General features: G+C 55.1%; 2 protein-coding genes and 1 long non-coding RNA gene across 13 annotated transcripts in view, besides 4 other annotated features; 2 read left to right on the top strand and 1 right to left on the bottom strand.

Moving 5' to 3' along the window:
• Nucleotides 4,357-4,766: a silencer, noted in NCBI's record as "silent region_4429". NCBI's record gives its function as "represses an Ori minimal core promoter by ATAC-STARR-seq in GM12878 lymphoblastoid cells {active_cell/tissue: GM12878}" and the evidence as "EXISTENCE:reporter gene assay evidence [ECO:0000049][PMID:35858748]".
• C1QL4 (complement C1q like 4) lies at nucleotides 4,530-9,309 on the top strand. Of its 2 annotated transcripts, XM_011538270.3 has the most exons (3): nucleotides 4,530-5,777; nucleotides 8,485-8,624; nucleotides 8,827-9,309. In XM_011538270.3, exons 1-3 carry the CDS (start codon nucleotides 5,241-5,243, stop codon nucleotides 8,831-8,833), a joined length of 684 nt encoding a protein of 227 aa, XP_011536572.1. In that variant the 5' UTR covers nucleotides 4,530-5,240; the 3' UTR covers nucleotides 8,834-9,309. The 2 variants fall into 2 exon arrangements, with proteins under 2 accessions (XP_011536572.1, NP_001008224.1); NM_001008223.2 differs by having other exon boundaries at nucleotides 8,485-9,309.
• Nucleotides 5,135-5,934: an enhancer, noted in NCBI's record as "H3K27ac-H3K4me1 hESC enhancer chr12:49729567-49730366 (GRCh37/hg19 assembly coordinates)". NCBI's record gives its function as "activates a minimal SCP1, AML or CMV promoter by ChIP-STARR-seq in naive H9 embryonic stem cells {active_cell/tissue: H9 hESC(naive)}" and the evidence as "EXISTENCE:reporter gene assay evidence [ECO:0000049][PMID:30033119]".
• Nucleotides 9,310-9,986: 677 nt separating the features above from the next.
• TROAP (trophinin associated protein) lies at nucleotides 9,987-18,463 on the bottom strand. 10 transcript variants are annotated; one of them, NM_005480.4, is made up of 15 exons: nucleotides 18,369-18,463; nucleotides 17,966-18,114; nucleotides 17,681-17,873; nucleotides 16,060-16,217; nucleotides 15,834-15,971; nucleotides 15,560-15,642; nucleotides 14,998-15,050; nucleotides 14,388-14,509; nucleotides 12,663-12,791; nucleotides 12,474-12,557; nucleotides 12,264-12,323; nucleotides 11,727-11,861; nucleotides 10,775-11,573; nucleotides 10,311-10,504; nucleotides 9,987-10,145 (listed from the first exon to the last, which is right to left on the bottom strand). In NM_005480.4, the coding sequence occupies exons 2-15, from the start codon at nucleotides 18,107-18,109 to the stop codon at nucleotides 10,101-10,103; spliced, it is 2,337 nt and encodes a 778-aa protein (NP_005471.3). In that variant the 5' UTR covers nucleotides 18,110-18,114; nucleotides 18,369-18,463; the 3' UTR covers nucleotides 9,987-10,100. The 10 variants fall into 10 exon arrangements, with proteins under 10 accessions (NP_005471.3, NP_001397905.1, XP_047283986.1 ...); NM_001410976.1 differs by having other exon boundaries at nucleotides 10,311-11,573; XM_047428030.1 differs by lacking the exon at nucleotides 11,727-11,861.
• Nucleotides 10,747-11,248: an enhancer, noted in NCBI's record as "H3K4me1 hESC enhancer chr12:49724253-49724754 (GRCh37/hg19 assembly coordinates)". NCBI's record gives its function as "activates a minimal SCP1, AML or CMV promoter by ChIP-STARR-seq in naive H9 embryonic stem cells {active_cell/tissue: H9 hESC(naive)}" and the evidence as "EXISTENCE:reporter gene assay evidence [ECO:0000049][PMID:30033119]".
• Nucleotides 17,142-18,776, top strand: part of TROAP-AS1 (TROAP and PRPH antisense RNA 1) — a 31,946-nt gene continuing 30,311 nt past the window's right edge. Inside the window, exons 1-2 of the long non-coding RNA NR_120449.1 lie at nucleotides 17,142-17,226; nucleotides 17,379-17,571. This is a non-coding gene — a long non-coding RNA (TROAP and PRPH antisense RNA 1). The remainder of the gene's footprint in view (nucleotides 17,227-17,378; nucleotides 17,572-18,776) is intronic.
• Nucleotides 18,240-18,389: an enhancer, noted in NCBI's record as "active region_6313". NCBI's record gives its function as "activates an Ori minimal core promoter by ATAC-STARR-seq in GM12878 lymphoblastoid cells {active_cell/tissue: GM12878}" and the evidence as "EXISTENCE:reporter gene assay evidence [ECO:0000049][PMID:35858748]".

Genomic DNA, 18,776 nt, shown 5'->3' with positions numbered 1-18,776 from the left:
GCTCTCTGTGCAGCCGATCCCCACATTTCATTAACTGGAGGCTGGAGCTGGCAAGCGGTGGAGGCAGAGGGGGGCACAAAGGGAGGTGGAGGAGTCAAAGGCTAGGAGCAGCACCTGGCCAGGGGTGGAGGGCTGCCGAAGTAAGTCAGCAACAGCTCTGACCTGGCAGACACCTTGGAAGCAGTCTTTACCCACTCTCTGAGAAGCCAGGAGCTTGTCTTCAGCCCTGTGGACCCTGGTGCGATACTTTGAACTTAAGGTTGCACTGAGTTTTGGTGCCAGAGGCACTGGCTGATGAGTGGGAGCCCTGGGCCTGGCCGTGATGGCAGAGGCAGGAGGGTAGTCTCTGCAAGGAGGCAAACCATGAGCAGGTTCTTGGGCTGGGACGGTTTTCCCAGCTGCAGTCGGAGAACAGCCGGCTTCAGGCTTCCCTTTTGTCCCTTAAGCAAATTTTCCTTGACTCGCTTCGTTTTCCTTTGCCTTCCTTTTTCTCTGCCCTCTCTTCCTCCATCTGGACGGTTGTTCTCTGAAACTAACTTTGGCCATCCTTTAGCCAACAGTTGAGCACCTGTTGGGCATCATGCTTAACAGTGTCAGGGTGGGGGTTGGGGGATACACGGAGCCAAGACCCAACCCTTTTGGCCTCACATACAAAAGGCTCCCGGAAGCCATTCAAATCTCACTGCCCACTCCTGGCCTGCCTCTCTCACTCTTCCACTGCCTTGGGTGCCATTTGTCTCCTCTAGGGAACTGAGAAGGAAGCCAGGAGGTCATAACTCTAATTCCAGGACTATCCCTTACAGGGTGATAATGGACAAGCCATTTCCCCTTTCTGGGCCCCAGTTTTTTTATCTTTAAAATGGGGACAATAGATCTAACTCTAAAGGGTGCTGTGAGGATGCAACGAGAAGTTGCATGTTAAAGCCCTAAAATACAATAAGGACTCAATAATGTTGTTTCCCTTTCCATGCCGTCCCCTGTCCTCTCACGTGGATTCCCTTGTCTTCATACTAGAGGACTGCTACCAGGCAACCCAGGCTGCTTCCAGATCCATGTGATCTTCAATGTGGGAGTTGAAAGCCAGAGTGTGGGAATGAGTAGGGAGAACCACACTGTGACGGGCCCTGAAGGGGAGGAAGGAGAGAGTGCAAGGAAAAAAAAAAAAGTGTTTCCTTAGATCTTGATAAAATGTCAGGCAGCGAGGAGGTTTCTCTTCTCTTACTGATGAGGAAACTGAGGCACGTTCAAGTGATGCAGGCATATCATGCTGCTGGAGCCTTCCCTCCCAAGGGCCCTCTATTGCTCACCTCTTCACCCCCTTTCTTCCCTTGAGGGGGTCTGGGTCAGTGACAGTAAGTGTGAGAGAAGGAACAAAAAGAGAGAACTTTCAAGGAGCCAGGACCTTTCCACTAGACTTCATAAAATTTTAACATGAAAACTTCCACAGAGTAGAAGGCACATATCACATGCAAATCATATGCTAATCACATGCTAATCCAAAGTCTGGTCCTCAGAACTCTGACACACACCTAGCTATAGCCCTGGGGGGGATTCTGGGGATCCCCCTGGGTTCCAGGACAGGTGAGGGAGGCATTCCATTTAGGGTCAGTTTATGGAGTTAAAATTCATTTTAGGATTGAAGAGGAGTCGAGTATATAAATAGGGGTTAGGGTCAAGGCTAATGCAGAGTCAAGGACAGACTGGTCTGTCTGAAGGCTGCATTAACCTTTAAGTGGGGGAGCCTAGGAAACTGTTAAAGGCTTCCTCTCCTCTCCGCTCCCCCTGCCAACTCTGCCCCCCACTTCCACTGCCCCTTCTTTGTCCTGCAGCACACCCTTCTCTACCTACTTCCCATTCCCAACCATACCACCTCCCTGGGGCTTCCCAGTTTGGCTGCCAGAGGAGTTCTGGGAAAATTGTCCCAGACCCTGGCCTGGGCCCCAGCATTGCCTCGAGCCCAGACACTTGGCTTCTGGCCCAAGGTGCACAGGCTGGCCTTGGCCCCACCCAGGTCCCTTCTTGGCAGAATGTGGCAGCTGCAGGGGAAGCAATAAGGACCTGGTGAGCTGGCAGCTTCATTCCAGAGTGTGGGAAAAGAGCAACAGAACATGAATAAATTCATGGAGCTGGCCCCTCAGCTCCCCGTGAGCCAAGCCGGCTCCCCCGACCACACAGATCCGCTGCTGCCTGCAGCCCTGCTGGTCACCACATCTCACAGCCTGGGCTGGGGATGGGAGGAGAGGGGAAGCTCTAGAGAGAAGAGGACTGGGACCTGAAAGGGGCTGAGGTGAGGGACTTAAAAAGGGGACCTTGGTGAGTAGAATGAGTGGAGTGAGGAGTGTGGCTGGGCAGAGGGGGTCTCTGGTGAGTGGAGGGAGGGAAAAGGGAGGGAGAGGAGTCAGGACCTGGGGTGGATGGGGCCTGAGGATCAGGCAGGGGAGGCTGGTGTGAGCCTGGGCCTGCTCTCTGATCCATCCATCATCCAGCCTGGGGGAGCAGATCCGGAATTAGACATGCAGAGGGCTGACACGGCCCTCAGCCCCCCGAGGAAGACAAATGGCGACAAAGACCTTGAATAAAATTTGTATTTATGGTTGGAGGAGGAGGCCCCTCCCCCACTGACTGCCAATCCTTTCTCTCCCACTCCTTGCAGACATGTAGGGGCCTCCCCCAACCCCCAACACAGGCCCAGCCTTAGGAACCTCTCTCTCCCAGCATCATTATGAGGCGGGGGTCGGGGGTGCAAGGAAGGAGTACAGAAAACAAGAGAGGAGGAAATCACTCTCCATCCAATAATCATGCCCTGGTGTGCCCTGTGCCCTCCATCTTACACAATGTTCTCCCATACATGATAGTCCTGGCTTATCCTGGTCTCTAAGAGGCCTTTGCAGCTGCTCACCTCCAGGGTCTCCAAATGCCCCCACTTTTTACCAGTCCTAGAACCTGTTTTCCTAGCCTCTGGGGTCCCTGTGAGCAAGACATTTTCCCCAGAAGGCCCAGGCCCTAAGAGAGGATGCAGCCAGTAGCTTTTTCTCTGGACTCTGATCTAGCAATGCCTGTGTCTAGCAATGTCTTGGCCGCTCGGAAAGACAGATACAGTCCCCTCTTACAGGAGGGTGCCTAGCACCTAATCTGCATTTTACTTACATTAATTTGCATGGCCAACTTCAACCCCCACCCAAATACCCATTATGTGGGATCCAACTTCTCTGGGTTTCATCTAACAACAAACTCTTGAAGAAGGAGGAAGGGGCAGAGACTCCTGGGACTGGATAAGTCTGGGACCAGGGCAGGGGTGGCATTGGGCTGAGCTGGGCAGGGCAAATGAGAAGACAGCTGTCTTCTGACTTCCTCTCTGTCCAGTAGAGTCCTTCATTCTCAGTCCCAAGGTAGGAAAAATGGCATTTGTGGGCTCCAAATTGAGGGACTAGGAGGAAGACAAATACAAATACCTCCCTTCAAACAGCCCTCACATATACATACACAAAGACAACACACAATCCACAATCGCACTCACCCAGGGACACACAGGGCCAGGATCCCATGGCCACCTCCACACTTTGGAGCACACTGTCACAATGCACAGGCCCAGAGCCTAGCACTGCTGGCAGAGCCGCCCTGCCCCCGCATCTTCCCCACAGTTGATATGTCACATTGGAGTCCAAACACGGACCTGGGTGTCTCTCTGCAGCGCGCCATTTACATTTCTCTCTCGATCTGTCAACCTGTCCCGGCTCTGTCTCTCTTCCTCTGTCTCTGTCTCTCCCTCTCCCCCTCTGGGGCTGTCAGTCCGTCTCTTTTCGAAGCTTTGTCTCTGTCTCTGCATCTCTATCTAGCTTTCCTTCTCTTTGATTTCTGTCGCTCCTTCTCTGCTTTCTTGTCGGTTTCTTGCTTGCTCCCCCGGGCTGATCTGTTCTCTTATTTTCTCTCTCTCTCTCTCTCTCTCTCTCTCTCCACACAAACACACACACACACACACACACACACACACACACACACACTCCGCTCCGCGCCCCAATACTGAGGGGTGGGGGTAGGGTTGGCTAGAGATTTGCCTTTTCCAGTTCAGGCCAACTAGTATCAGTTGAATCCTTTACCATGTTATTCGGTCACGGGCGCTGAGGTGCGTGGGGTGGTGAATTTCTATCTTTTCTAGCCCTTCTTATTTTGTTTTCTGTTTGTTTGTGAGGTCCCTCCCCCTCATTTTAGCTCGGGAATCTACCCCTGTCTTCTCTGCGTGTTTGTATCTTGACCCCTCTTTATCCCATCGCTGTTTTGGGTTTCCTCTGGCCTCTGAGAATGCCAAACTCCGGGTAAAGGGTAAAAGTAAAGATACAGCGGGGGCCGCGAAACCCTGAAGAACCCGCTCAGAGCCGGGAAGGAACCTAGGGGCAGTGGGGGAGTGGAGGGGAGGCGGGGAGGACGTGGGTGGGGGCCGCTGCCTGCCCCGCCCCCGCACTTCCCACTCTGGGCACCAGGGGTCGCTCCGCCTCTGGCCGCTTATAGTGGCTCCCGCCGCGCGGCGCCTCATACCACCCGCGCCCGGGAGGGAGGGGAGGAAGGTTAGGGAGGCGGAGAGGGACCGCGCCCGCAGGAGAGAGGCGCGGGCCAGGGCTCTAGCAGGGACTGGGGCCGCGGCAGGGGTAGCAAGGTGAGTCGGTGCTTGCCAAGAGGCAGAGCGCAAAACCTACTAGGAGATCGCGCCCGGTGAGCAGCACCCGCAGCTCAGAGCCCGGGACGTCCGGAGCGCGGGGAGCAGTCCCCTCTCCATCAGGGAGTGGTCTATCTGGGCAGTCTGGGACCCAGGCACCGCGCCATCCCTGAGAGAGCAGCAGTCTGGAGAGCAGGCATCTCAGATCCCTAAGAAACCAGCCGTCCGAGAAGCCGCGGATCTCAGGTGCCCAGGATCGTTAGGACTGAACGGGAGGGTACTAGAGGACCACTGGCTCTGGACCGTCGGGAGCTGCCCCTGACGTAACCCACGAGGGGCCTCCCCTTGACGGACGGCTTGGGGAGCGGCACCGCCGCGGCTGGAGCCCGCAGAGGCAGGGTAAGGGGAGCGGGGGGCAGCCGTCGGGGGAGTGCAGACCCAGGCCCAAGGCGGGTCACCGCCTCCTGGCCCGCGGAGAGCCCCGGCCCCGGCAGCCATTGCGCCCAAGAGTGAGGAAGATTTGCTGGCCCTGGCAGCGTCGCGGCTGAGCCGCCGCAAGAGGGTGGCGGGCGCGGCCGTCGGAGTGGCCATGGTGCTGCTGCTGCTGGTGGCCATCCCGCTGCTGGTGCACAGCTCCCGCGGGCCAGCGCACTACGAGATGCTGGGTCGCTGCCGCATGGTGTGCGACCCGCATGGGCCCCGTGGCCCTGGTCCCGACGGCGCGCCTGCTTCCGTGCCCCCCTTCCCGCCAGGCGCCAAGGGAGAGGTGGGCCGGCGCGGGAAAGCAGGCCTGCGGGGGCCCCCTGGACCACCAGGTCCAAGAGGGCCCCCAGGAGAACCCGGCAGGCCAGGCCCCCCGGGCCCTCCCGGTCCAGGTCCGGGCGGGGTGGCGCCCGCTGCCGGCTACGTGCCTCGCATTGCTTTCTACGCGGGCCTGCGGCGGCCCCACGAGGGTTACGAGGTGCTGCGCTTCGACGACGTGGTGACCAACGTGGGCAACGCCTACGAGGCAGCCAGCGGCAAGTTTACTTGCCCCATGCCAGGCGTCTACTTCTTCGCTTACCACGTGCTCATGCGCGGCGGCGACGGCACCAGCATGTGGGCCGACCTCATGAAGAACGGACAGGTGAGATGCCCCTCTCCCCAACCCAGCTCAGACTGGTCGCTCTCTAGATCTCCCTGCACTCATCCCACAACCTGAGATTATTCCCCGAAACAGCGTCACTGAATCCAGGAACGCGAGGCTGCCAAGAACGATAGATGACTTCATTTACCCACAGAGGAAATTGGGGGCCAGAGAAGGAAAACCTTCTGCCTAGGGCCTCACGGAGTGTAGGAATGGTGTTAGAATTAGAACTCAGGACTTAAACCTGAGTGTCTCTGCAGCTGTGACCTCACATTGCAACTATGGGCAACACCAGATGTCTTTGGTGTCTCGCCCTGCCAACTCGCTTCTTTTCTCGTCCTGTCTTGGGCTATCCTTTCTTCTGCGGCAGCCCCCCTGGCCTTTGGGTCTCTCAGCCTTGCATTGGACCAGCTAACTGGAGTCTAGGCTCCTTCGAATTAGAATGGAATCCATGTCTCAGGCAATAGGAAGTCAGCAGCTGTTCTCATGTTGAGGGCATTCGGGTTGGATGTTTGAGGAAAAGGTATAAAAGGAAGAAAACATTTGCCTGCTCACTTCACCTGCCGATCAGCTGTTCTGTTGCTCACCCCAGGGCTGGGGGCCTAGAACGGCCTTGCCCTCAGCAGAGTCTGTGGCTTGGCAGCTCAAGGGCCAGCCAGGTGGCTGGAATGAATGGATTTGGGGGAGGAAAGAGGCAAGGGACAGGTAGAATAGCCTTGGGCCCTGGCCTGGTCTTGTAGGCCCCACACCCTCCCTAGCAATCTCTCAGTATCCAGGTTCCACAGTTCCCTGCCCTTGTGGGCAGTTGGAGTCACTGTTGCCTCTGTTTTCGGGGAATAGCCCCAAGGACTAAGCTCTAGCACCAAAATTTCACACATAGTGGGAACTAGAGGCCGCAGGTGTGGGGTAGGTGGGAGAAGGTGCCAGAGCTGCACAGGCTGCAGAGGGAGGTTGGGGCTGAGTGGTGACCTCTGGATGTCCAGCATGAAGGGGGTGGTGGCGACCCAGGAGCTTCAGGCCTGCAGGAGCCTGGTACCGCGGCAGCATCTACCTGCCCCGAGACCTGCTTTGGGATCTCATCCCAGCCGGGCTGCCCCAGGAACCCGGGGAAAGGGAGTGAGTGTGCGTCCTCATGGAGTGAAAGAATATGTATGTGTGTCAGGGAGTGTGTGTGAGTGCGGAGTGCGATGTGAGAGTAGAGCGGTGTCTATCTGTATATGACATCGAGTAGGTGTGCTTGGTCCATGCAGGGTATCTGGGAGGAGGTGGAGGGGGCCAGTGTGTAACTAATTCGTGCGGGTTTCAGAGGGGGAGGGGACTGCGCAGCTCCCACTCTGTATTCTTCAGTGCGGGCGCTGCGGCCCTGGGGACGGTAAATAGTGATTAGAATAATGATGAATAATTAATGAGTTAATAACCAGCCCCTGTGGGACTCTCTAGAAGAGGGGGGCTGAAGGCCCGAAGCGACCGCCATGAGCCCGGAGGGGAGGAAGTGCTCCCTGTTCTGGCAGAAGACGACCCCCCACGCCTGGGCACCAGTGGGTGCTTGGTCGGGAAATCCGCGCCCACAGGCGAGAGCGCAACAGTGCACCTTATCATGGCCCGCACCCTATGCACACGCACAGGCACACCTATGCCCCACCACTGGGGAAGCCAACCCTCCATGAGGACTGACAGGAGGTCCCAGCCGGTTCAGAATTTTAGAAATTATCCTATAGGCAAAATTTTATTTTATTTTATTTATTTTTTGAGACAGTTTCGCTCTTGTTGCCGAGGCTGGAGTGCAATGGCGCTATCTCGGCTCACGGCAACCTCTGCCTCCTGGGTTCAAGCGATTCTCCGACCTCGGCCTCCCGGGTAGCTGGGATTACAGGCATGTACCACCACGCCCAGCTAATTTTGTATTTTTAGTAGAGACGGGGTTTCTCCATGTTAGTCAGGCCGGTCTCGAACTCCCGATCTCAGATGATCTGCCGGCCTCGGCCTCCCAAAGTGCTGGGATTACAGGTATGAGCCACCGCGCCTGGCCGACAAATTTTATTTTTAAAATGAGAATAGTAATTTGAAAATGCATTAAAAATAATTTAAGAATGGAAACCACTGAGCCAGGCGCGGTGGCTCACGCCTGTAATCTCAGCACTTTGAGAGGCTGAGGTGGGTGGATCACCTGAGATCAGGAGTTCGAGACCAGCCTGGCCAACACAGTGAAACCCCGTCCCTACTAAAAATAGAAAAAATTAGCTGGGCGTGGTAGTAGGCGTCTGTAATCCCAGCTACTAGGGAGGCTGAGGCAGGAGAATCGCTTGAACCCGGGAGGTTGCAGTAAGCCGAGATCGTGCCATTGCACTCTAGCCTGGGCAAAAAGAATGAAACTCCATCTCAAAAAAAAAAAAAAAAGCAAACCACTCTTCTGAACACACTTCACATGTAGTAATTCACTTAATCTTAACACCCTATGAGGTGGGTTCTATTATTGTCCCTCACTTTATAAATCAACTCGAGGTCCAGAAAAGGCGTGGTATTTGCTCCGCGTCACACAGCTAGTGAATGGCAGAGCTGGAGCAACTCCGTGATGTCCTACCCTCCTCCCTGGTCCTCCCCAGCCCCTGCGGCGGCTGCCCGGCCGCCTTCGCACGCCCAGCCGCCCCGACCCCTCTCGTCACCCCAGCTCCACACAGAGCATGAGCAGGTTCTTCTCCCTCGATAGGTCCGGGCCAGCGCCATTGCTCAGGACGCGGACCAGAACTACGACTACGCCAGCAACAGCGTCATTCTGCACCTGGACGTGGGCGACGAGGTCTTCATCAAGCTGGACGGCGGGAAAGTGCACGGCGGCAACACCAACAAGTACAGCACCTTCTCCGGCTTCATCATCTACCCCGACTGAGCCGGCCCCGCCCCGTGCCCCCGCTCGCCCCTTCTCTCCCGTCCTCACCCACCTCCTGCCCGCCCCACCCGAGGCGCCACCCCACCCTTTGAGAGCCTGGCGGTGGGGTGGACCCTTCCGTTCCCGGAGGCGGCCTAAATGGGCGAACTCTTGGTGCTCAAGGGTATAAGTGGCCGGGAAGAGGAGGAGACCCGGCCAGAGGAGCAGAGCGACTTCCGGAGGGATCACCCGCACCCAAGTGCGCGCTGGACCCCATAGGGGCAGAGGTCGTGGCTTTCTCTTTTGTACAGAGATGGGGAGCAGTTTTAATAGCGGGACTCAGAGGCCCAGAAAGCCGGAGGGAAGCCCCCGCAGCTTGCGAGGGAAATAACAGAAACAGGAGGAGCCCATTTAGGCAAGAGAAGACATTAAAACAGGGTAGTGCAGGTTCTCCGTCACAACTTTCTCTCGCCACCCTCTCGTCCCCTCGTCTCCACTTTCAGGCTCAGGCTCCAGCCTTGGCAGCCTTCCTGTGAACTGGAGGAACCAGTGAATTCTTTCCTGGCATTTAAAACGCATTCTGTACAGTCCCCATTCCCCCCTATCCGGACTAGGCCCTGGGGCTACAGCTGCTGCTGCCTCTTCTAATAAAGTGAGGTTGGGGGATTGTGTGTGGCTGCTTAACTTGGTGCATAGACTGGGGGGAAAGTGGCGGACCCTTTCCCTCATTCCTCTAAAGAGCTCCTACCGTGCTGTCAGTCCCTGCCAGAGGCAAAGTTTTAGTTAATTCCAGGCAAGGCCTGCCTCTGGCAGAAAAGGGGTGTGTGTGTGCTTCTACTCTGCTATGGGGAGGAAGAAGGATGGTCTGTTTCAGGAGAGCTTTGGGGCCTCACGCTGTAGGTGGAGGGAGACACCAGCCTAATAAGGGAAGAGTCCAAAGGTCTGGGTCTGGTGCTTCTGCTTTTCTGCCCAATGCACGCAGAGAGTTCTAGAAGAGGAGCTCTAGGGGGTGAAGGAGTCGTCTAGGGCTCCTGCAAGCTAAGTGAGACTGATCTCAAAAAGCAAGGGGAACAGGGGTTCCAATTGCCCGCCAACATATTTACAGAGCTTGCGAGGGAGTGGGCTTGGCAGGAGTGGGAGGCTCAGAGCTTGCAAGGGGGTGGGCTAGGCAGGAGTGGGTTTCCTCCTTCCCTTTCAGGATTCAGGACGGCTTCTGGATGGGAGCCTGGGGGATCCCAAGAGCCCAGGGCTGGCCTCTGAGCTGGAGGACACTGCCATCCTGTGGGCAGTGGGAGAGTGACAGCAGTAGCTGGCCTGTTTGGACACTTAGCTAGACACGTGGATACTTTAGAAACTTTATTGAGGACAAAAGTGGGCGGCTCCCAGTCCCATGGGCAGACCGACAATAAATAAGGGCTAAAAGGAAGAAGTACGGCAGGGCAGGAGTGGTTGTCTCATCATGGAGAGCCCTGGGGGGCAGCAGAACCAACTGGAATGAAACACTGGAGACAGAGAAGACCTTGTCACAGCTCAGCCAACCTTGCACTGTAGCCAAGCCTTCCTGCTGACCTCTCTGTGAAGAAGCCCAGGTGGCCCCCTGTCCCTGTTCCCCACCTCCCATCAGGCTCACTGTGCAGCCACAGCTGGGCTGTGGGTTGGAGTCTCACCAGGGCATCCTGCCATTCGAGTAATGTAGCCACAGGGTTGGTGCAGACCCGGGTGGGGCCTGAGGGAGGGGCTCGGCTGGTGTAAAAGGCACACTCATCGTCCAGACGAGCCTCGTGGAAGCAGTGGATGGCGGTTAAACACGATTTGAGGCGCTCCCTCAGGGCTAGGGTTCGAGGGGCCAGATTGCTGAGGCCTGAGGGGCATGGAAAATTTAGAGGGAGGTCTGGGGTCCTATACTTCCACCATGTACTGTCCTCTCCTCCTCCCCCACCAACGGCCAAGCCAATTAGGAGCACAGGGCTGGAAGTGCAGCCCCTCCCCTCTTCCTGAGGGAGAGCCAGGCTGGGCCAGGGTGGAAGGTGTGGAAGCATGAGATTGCCTGGGGTAGGGGCAGGGCAGGTGTGCAGCTCACAGTGAGGTGAGGACCTCTTGTGTTCACACTCCTTCCCAGCCAACTCCTTACCTGCCTGGCCTGCTGGGGGTCTCAAAGACTGGAGTGAGCAGATAGGGGGGCTGGCACAAAGCGGGTGTTGGGAAGAGAAGATCAGGCTGGTGGTTGCTGGAGCCCACTGACTGCAGCAGGGTGGTAGACTGGACTCTAGACTTCTATGTTCCAGGGTGCAGGGCTCTGATGCCCCCAGCTCTACCCTAGGGCAGGGCCCTGGGGGTCCAGACTGCCCCTGGGTGCTGGGCTGAAGGGGCCCGGGTTCTGCTGGAGGGCAGGGCTCAGGTACCTCAAGCTGTTCCTGGCGAGAGGACTCCGGTATCTCAGGCTCAATCCTACAGTAGGACTCTAGGGGCCTGGGTTCTGCTGGAGGGCAGGGCTCAGGTACCTCAAGCTGTTCCTGGCGAGAGGACTCCGGTATCTCAGGCTCACTCCTACAGCAGGACTCTAGGGGCCTGGGTTCTGCTGGAGGGTAGGGCTCTGGTACTTCAAGCTGTTCCTGGAGGGAGGGCTCTGGTATCTCAGGCTCACTCCTACAGAAGGCCTCTGGGGGCCCAGGCTCTGCCGGAGGGCAGGGCTGTGGTTCCCCGCACTCCTCTGGAAGACAGGGCTTTGGCAGCCCTGAGTGTTTTAACAGTCCAGGAAGGTGGGAAGTCCCAGAGTTATGCTCTGTGGCATTCAGAGTTCTAGAAATCTCAGTCAGCAGGGGCTGAAGTTCAACCATATCCAGAGAAGAGCCTCCATTAAGAGGGACACACTGGCCCCCTACCAGCCCCTCTACTTCCTGTCTCAACAGCTGTTGCAGGATACCGATGCGCTGTGGTGGGAGAGAGCACCCCAGTGTGACATCAAGATGTGCGTTCAGTAGTCTACCCACACTGTCCTATTCCTGATCCCCCATCTCTTTTCCCTCTTCCTCAGCCCAGTCACTGTTCAATAGACATCAAAGCTGTTGGCCACACAGACTCACTTGAATCTTCACCTCCTGGAGGCTGGGGGTTCTGTTAGAGTGGGGTCCAGAAGGAGTGGCCACCGGTGGTTTCCCAGAACCCTCCAGTGACCTTATACAACTCTCCTGGTCAAACAACCGGACGGCAACCTGCTCCTGTCACCAAGGAACAAGGCACACAAGCAAGCCAGGCTGGGGCAGGAGAAAGACCAGCCTGAGTCCCACCCTCATGAGGAATGGATTGAAGCCCCTAACTGAGAGGCCCTAGATGTACATTAGGAGGGGCAGCAGAGAAGCAGTGAGAGTTAGGCAGCTTTTCCAGAGAGCACTTTCTAATTTTTAAAATTTTAGTGGAGACAGGGTCTCACTATGTTGCCCAGGCTGGTCTCAAAGATCTGAGCTCAAGCAATCCTCCTACCTCAGCCTCCCAAAGTGCTGGGATTACAGGTGTGAGCCACCATGCCTGGCCCAGAAAGCACGTGTGCCTCAAACTCCTGGGCCTCCAGGCTGGCAGCACAGGGCAAGGGATCTCAGTAGGGGGAAGCTTCTGATACTTACCCAGGGCAGGGCAGGATCTTCAGAGCAGGACTGAGGGGAGACACCACGCAGCCACTGGGCCTGGCACAGAAGTGAGATGTCAGCAAGGGCTGACACCCACAGATGGCACTCAGCCTCCCCTTGCTTCTGTCTTCTCTCTCCTGTACCCATCCATCTCCTTTCTCCCCTAGCTGTGACTTATGCCAGCCACCTCTCCATGCCCTCTCTTACCTGCTGAACTCTGGGGGTTGATGGCATGGGTGTGAACCGGGTTTTAGGTTGAACGGTGAGACGCCGCAACACTGAATATGAGGTCTGGGGAGAGATGTGGGTGGCTGAGCAGGGACAAAACCCAGACATAGCAAGGATCTCCGGCCAGACTGTTCTGCCCCTGCCCAGCCCCCAGTTGTTGACACAAACCAGAGTTGGAGGGCCTGGGGAGGGTACACGCTGAGCCCGTCCAAAGGGTGATGGACATGGCACCACATGGCCAGGCAAGGGCTGGGCCACAGGGGCAGGGGAGGGCATCAGGTGGGAGTCATGGCTGTCCTGTGAAGAAGAAAAAGGTGGAAGAGTGATCCCCGCCCCCTTTGTCTTCCTATTTTTTTTTTTGATACGGAGTCTCGCTCTGTCACCCAGGATGGAGTCCAGTGGCGCGATCTTGGCTCACTGCAAGCTCCGCATCCCGGGTTCACACCATTCTCCTGCCTCAGCCTCCCGAGTAGCTGGGACTACAGGTGCCCGCCACCATGCCCGGCTAATTTTTTGTATATTTAGTAGAGATGGGGTTTCACCATGTTAGCCAGGATGGTCTCGATCTCCTGACCTCGTGATCTGCCCGCCTCGGCCTCCCAAAGTGCTGGGATTACAGGAGTAAGCCACCACGCCTGGCTGTCTTCCTATATCGTGTTCTCACTACAGCAGCCAGTGTGATTCTTTTAAGACCTAAGTCAAGCCGGGCATGGTGGCTCAGGCCTGTAATCCCAGCACTTCGGGAAGCCGAGGAGGGTGGAGCACCTGAGGTCAGGAGTTTGAGACCAGCTTGACCAACATGGAGAAATCCTGTCTCTACTAAAAATACAAAATTAGCCAGGCGTGGTGGTGCATGCCTGTATTCCCAGCTACTCGGAGGCTGAGGCAGGAGAATCACTTGAACCCAGGAGGCAGAGGTTGCAATGAGCGGAGATCGTGCCATTGCACTCCAGCCTGGGCAACAAGAGTGAAACTCCATCTCAAAAAAAAAAAAAAAAAAAAAAAAAAAGACCTAAGTCAAATCATGTCACTTTCTTGATCAACCCCTCTCCCCATGGCTTTCCACTCATTCCAAGACAAGCCAAAGACTTACACTGGTGTACAATTCCTTACCCAATCTGATCGTGTTATCGCTAAAACCCTATCTCCTACTGTTCTTCTTACTCTGCTTCAATCTCACTGGCCTCTCCTTTTTGCTGATCCTCAAACACACCAGGCACATTCCCTCCCCAGGGCCTTTACCTCTTCAGTTCTCTTGGCCTGGAATGTTCCTTCCCCCAGATATCAACATATCTCACTCCTCCTCCAACCCCTGGTCTTCACTTAAACATCATCTTCTCAGTAAGAGTTCCCTGACAAATCTATTTTAAATTGCAATACCAACTCCCCTGCTCCCAATTCTCCTTTAGTGCCTTATTATTATTATTATTATTATTTTAGAGAGAACTTACCATCATCTGAGACACTATTTATTTTATACCTGTGTTTATTTCTTGTCTCCCCCTTCTAGAATATGAACTTGTTTACTGCTATATGTCCAGAGCCTAGAACAGAGCCTGGCACTCAGTAGGCTGGTGCTACTCAGTAAATATTTGTGGAGCCAAGGGATGAATGCTTTTGGCTGACAAGTGTCAGATCTGTCTCACCCTTAGCACTGATCTGATGGTGATACAAATATGACCTCTCACCCTAGGCCCCAGACATCTGATAAAGAGAGGTCAGTCTCACATTGGAGAGGGACTGGGTGCATCTGGGGTAAACCTACCCAGTAACATCCTGAGGCCCAGGACTTCCTGGCTCTACCTACAATTCTCAGTGTTGGCTGCTGCAGCAAAATTCTTCCAAGCAACTCCTGCACCTCCCACCCACCATCCCAGGAGAGTCGCATCTCACCCTGGTATGTGACATTTCTCGGTTTTCTCTTAATGGTACTCGCTGGGCCAGACCAAGAGAGGCCACACCTCCTTCATCTGAGTGAGTGACAACCTCGCGTTCTCCTTTAGGAAGAGAGAAAGCTAGGAAGAAACAGGACATTTGTTGTAGACTCTAGAACACCCACCAAAGTTTGGCACAGTGTTCTGCAACTTCTGAAGAGGGTATATTAGTTTAATAGGCCCCATTGCACTATTAGGGACAGGAACCCATCCAGCAGCCCCTCAACACCCAACACTATCTCAGTAAACACTTATTAATCTGAACGTCTGAGTAGGCTGGGGATGTGGTGATGGCACTTAGGGGCTGGGGATAAACAGTGAGTGGAAGATAAATCTTGCAGGAAGTGGCAGAGAGAGGGCCGAAATGGAGACCATCTCCTTAGACAAAAGTGCAACTGTGCCAATCGCTGGCCTATCTAGAAGGTCTCTTCTCCTTCTCCTTCTGACCTAGCCTCCCGGCCTCCCACTTCCTCATGCTCCCTCCCAGCCTGCTGAGTTTTCTCTGGTCTTGTTCCCTGCTTCAGGCAGCCCAACTGCCCCTGTTCTCTCCCCACGCCAGAAACACTTACCAGGCTGGACTGGGGTCTCCAGGAGCAATCCTGAGGCCTGGCTCACTGAAGTCCTGATGACAATAAGGACATTAGCCAGCAGTCACTGAATACCAAGTATGAGCTGGACATGTGCTAAGTGCTTTACAAACATCATCTCATTTCATTCTCATGACAACTAATGATGGTACAAATGTTATTCTCACTTGACAAAGAAACCAAAGCTCAGAGAGGTGAAGGCAAGCTTGCACAAATAGTAAGTGTTAAGAGTTAGGATATAAACCCAAATCCCACTTATTGCCACAGTCTATACTCTAGCCACTAAACAAAAGAGATAGCACATTTCTGTCCTCCCTGTCCCCCCATGACTTGAGTAAACTGATGTCACACTGAGGCCTGGCTGTGAAAGCCTGAACCCTATCCCAAGGGCTCATCCCGGGTAATCACAGGTTTCTTGCTTCCCCTCCTGAGTTGGTGGGGAGTCCTAAAGCTCCTGGAAGGCCCCAACTCTGGGGGACTCCTGTATCAGACACTGGTTCATTCTTTTCCAGATGACCTTCTCCCACACCCTCTCCTTTCTCACCGGCTGCTGCCAGCTGTCTCCCTTCTTAGCTCCTGGAAACTGGGGCGAGTGGAAGGGTGAAAGGAAGGTCCTGAAGGTGAAATCTGATCCACAGGAGCAAGAGATGAAAACGGAATCAGAGGTGGACCCCAAACCCTCAGGCCTCACCACCAACCCCATCTCCCCCAGTAGGATCCCTTGCCTCATCATGAGGTACCTCTTCTCCCAGAGCCCAGCTTTGTCCCTGGAAGGAGCTCCCAGAAGCACCGACTATCAGCCCCTCAAGGGCACTCACCAGAGCCTGTAGCCTCTGGGGGCACAATGTCCGGCCTCGAGGTCCTGGTCCCTCCAGCCTAGAGAAGCAGGAAGCCCTGGCAGGGTCCAGTCGGTGGGTGGGGGTTCTGGGGGCCAAATATGCAGAGGCCCGAACACCCTGGGACACCAACAGAGGCTGTCAGCACTGCTCAGGATGCCCCCCTCAGTGCCCCCTAGCCTGGTCTCCTCACATCCTGTTTCATTACCTGGACCCTCTGGGTGGTGCCTCCCTGACTTCCTCGAACCAGTACTCTTTTAGCCAGACTAGGCTGGCGCCCCAGGTGACAGCTCTTCACACCCTCACCTGACAGGATGGTGGCCAGGGCTGCAGGGTCAGCCACAAACTCTATGGTCCCTGGAGCCTCTGCAAGGAAAGAGGAGAAGGAAAAGGAAGGGGGAAGGCTGAGGGGGATAGGGCCCCTAGCATAGGAACTTTGAGGTACAAGGTGAGCAAGAGACTCATTCAATTGAATTTGGCTTATTTTTTTTTTTTTTTTTAAGAAATAGATGGCTGGGTGCAGTGGCTCATGCCTGTAATCCCAGCACTTTGGGAGGCCGAGGCGGGTGGATCACCTGTGGTCAGGAGTTTGAGACCAACCCGGCCAACATAGCAAAACCCTGTCTCCACTAAAAAAATACAAAAATTGGCTGGGTGCGGTAGCTCACTCCTGTAATCCCAGCACTTTGGGAGGCTGAGGCAGGTGGATCACCTGAGGTCAGGAGTTTGAGACCAGCCTGGCCAACATGGTAAAACCCCATCTCTACAAAAAACAAAAACAAAAAAAAATTAGCTGGACCTGGTGGCGCGCGCCTGTAGTACCAGCTACTCAGGAGGCTGAGGCTGGAGAATCACTTGAACCTGGGAGGTGGAGGTTGCAATGAGCCAAGATCGTGCCACTGCACTCCAGCTTAGTGACAGAGTGAGACTCTGTCTCAAAAAAAAAAAAAAAAAAAAGAAAGAAAACAAAAATTAGCTGGGTGTGGTGGCAGGTGCTGGTAATCCCAGGTACTCGGGGTGAGGCATGAGAATCGCTTGAACCTGGGAGGTGGATGTTGCAGTGAGCCGAGATCATGCCACTGTACTCTAGCCTGAGGGATAGAGTAAGACTCTGTCTCCACAAAAAAAAAAGAAAAGAAAAAAAAAAAGAGAAAAAGAGATGGGGTCTCACTATGTTGCCTAGGCTGGTCTCAAACTCCTGAGCTCAAATGATCCTCCTGCCTCGGAGGAGTGTTGGAATTACAGGCGTGAGCCACCACACCTGGTCACCAAATGTTCATAGAATGTTACATAAGACACTATTCTAAGCACTGGGGTCCCATAAGAATAAGACAAAGCCCCTATCCTCAAGAGGCTATCATCAAACTATAGACAGGTAACAGACTCAAGCCAAGGTATATACATGTTATAAAAGAAGTGCTGCAAAGTATTAGGAGAACACAGAGCAACTGATTGTGACATGGGGAACTGGAAAAGGCTTCAGAAGAAGTGATATTTATTATTTATTTATTTATTTATTTTTTAAAGAGATGGGATCTCCCTCTGTCATCCAGGCTGGTCTCCAACTCCTGGCCTCCAGTGATCCTCCTGCTTCAGCCTCCTGAGTAGCTGTGATTACAGGTACAAGCCATGGCACCTGGCGAGATGACATTTTGCTGGAGGAAAGGGAGATCTTCTAAGAGCAAAGAGCTTTCCAGGAGCTGGGACCAGGACTATCACAGTAAGTAGGAGACAGCAGGAGTGAGTGCAAAACCCCAAAACCCCACTTTTACCCTTCCTAGTCCCCTACTCAGCCATGGAGGCCGTGTTACCATGGCTCCAACAGGTACCTGTCTGGGCAGGGGGCCCAGGCCCCACATTTTGACCCCTAGGGCTAGGCCTGAGCTCTTCCAAGGGGTTCCGAGGCTGACTGATCCCCACCAATCTTTGTGATGTCTCTGCCTGGTGCCTGGCTTTCGGCCTGGGGCCTGCTGAATCAACGAGGGGGCGTTGAATATTGAGCGGTGGTTTCTGCACCCATCTCTAGGGGAGGGAGCGGGGACAAAAAGGTGAGGTTTAGTGTTGGGGTGCATTACTGGTGTGACTACTGTCTTCCCCCATTAGGCCCCTCTTACCCTTGGATCTTGGTTCTCCTGGTCCACGGCGCACGATGTAACAGTGGGGAAAGGCGTGCGTTTCTGAGAGCGTACCGGAATCTTGCTAGGGGTAGGAGATACACCCCGGAGGAGGGGATCCTTCGTGGCTTGCCGGGTGGTCATGATGGCTACAATTGAGACGGGGAAGAAGGCAGGCAGAATCTAAGATCAAAGATCAACCAGTTCTCGGGGCACCTGTCCTGCCATCCCTGATACCTCCGCCCTAATCCACGCGCCCACAAGCCCCCGGCGCCTGCAAGACCGCTCTTATGGGTGCTATCTCCAGACACCCCGAGCCTACTCTTTCGCCCTCGGGCCCCAAACTGCCCTCCTCCCTATGAACCCAGCAGCCTTCGTTCCCTTCAAGACCCCCGTGCCTTACCTTACCGAGGCCCCTCAGGGCCTACCCAGCTTCCTCCGCTTTTCTCCTGACCCTCTCGGGTGCTGCTGGAGCTACTTTCTCAGTTTGTAAAATACGCCAAGCTCTTGATTGGCCCGGTCGCGCTCCCGCGGAGGCCCGCGTAGCCAGACTCAGCCGTCCAATCCGCGGGCATCGCAGGAGGGGCCAAAAGAAGGACCAATTGTCGAACCGCTTTCTGGCGAGGAAAAAAACTGACTCGGATCAATCAGCCAATCCGAGAGTGGAGCGCCGCTGGGAGGCGGGGAAAGAGGAAGGATGGGGCCGTTCCGAGGCCGGGGAAGGCGTAGCCACGGGAGCTCTCGCGAGGCCTCAGGACCGGCTAGGGGCCGGCCATTGGCAGGACCGGGCGAGGTCGCGGTACTGAGGGTA

Source organism: Homo sapiens, chromosome 12 (genome assembly GCF_000001405.40).
Source record: "Homo sapiens chromosome 12, GRCh38.p14 Primary Assembly".
In the NCBI taxonomy this organism is placed as follows: domain Eukaryota; kingdom Metazoa; phylum Chordata; class Mammalia; order Primates; family Hominidae; genus Homo; species Homo sapiens.
This window is presented reverse-complemented; position numbering and strand designations above follow the sequence as displayed.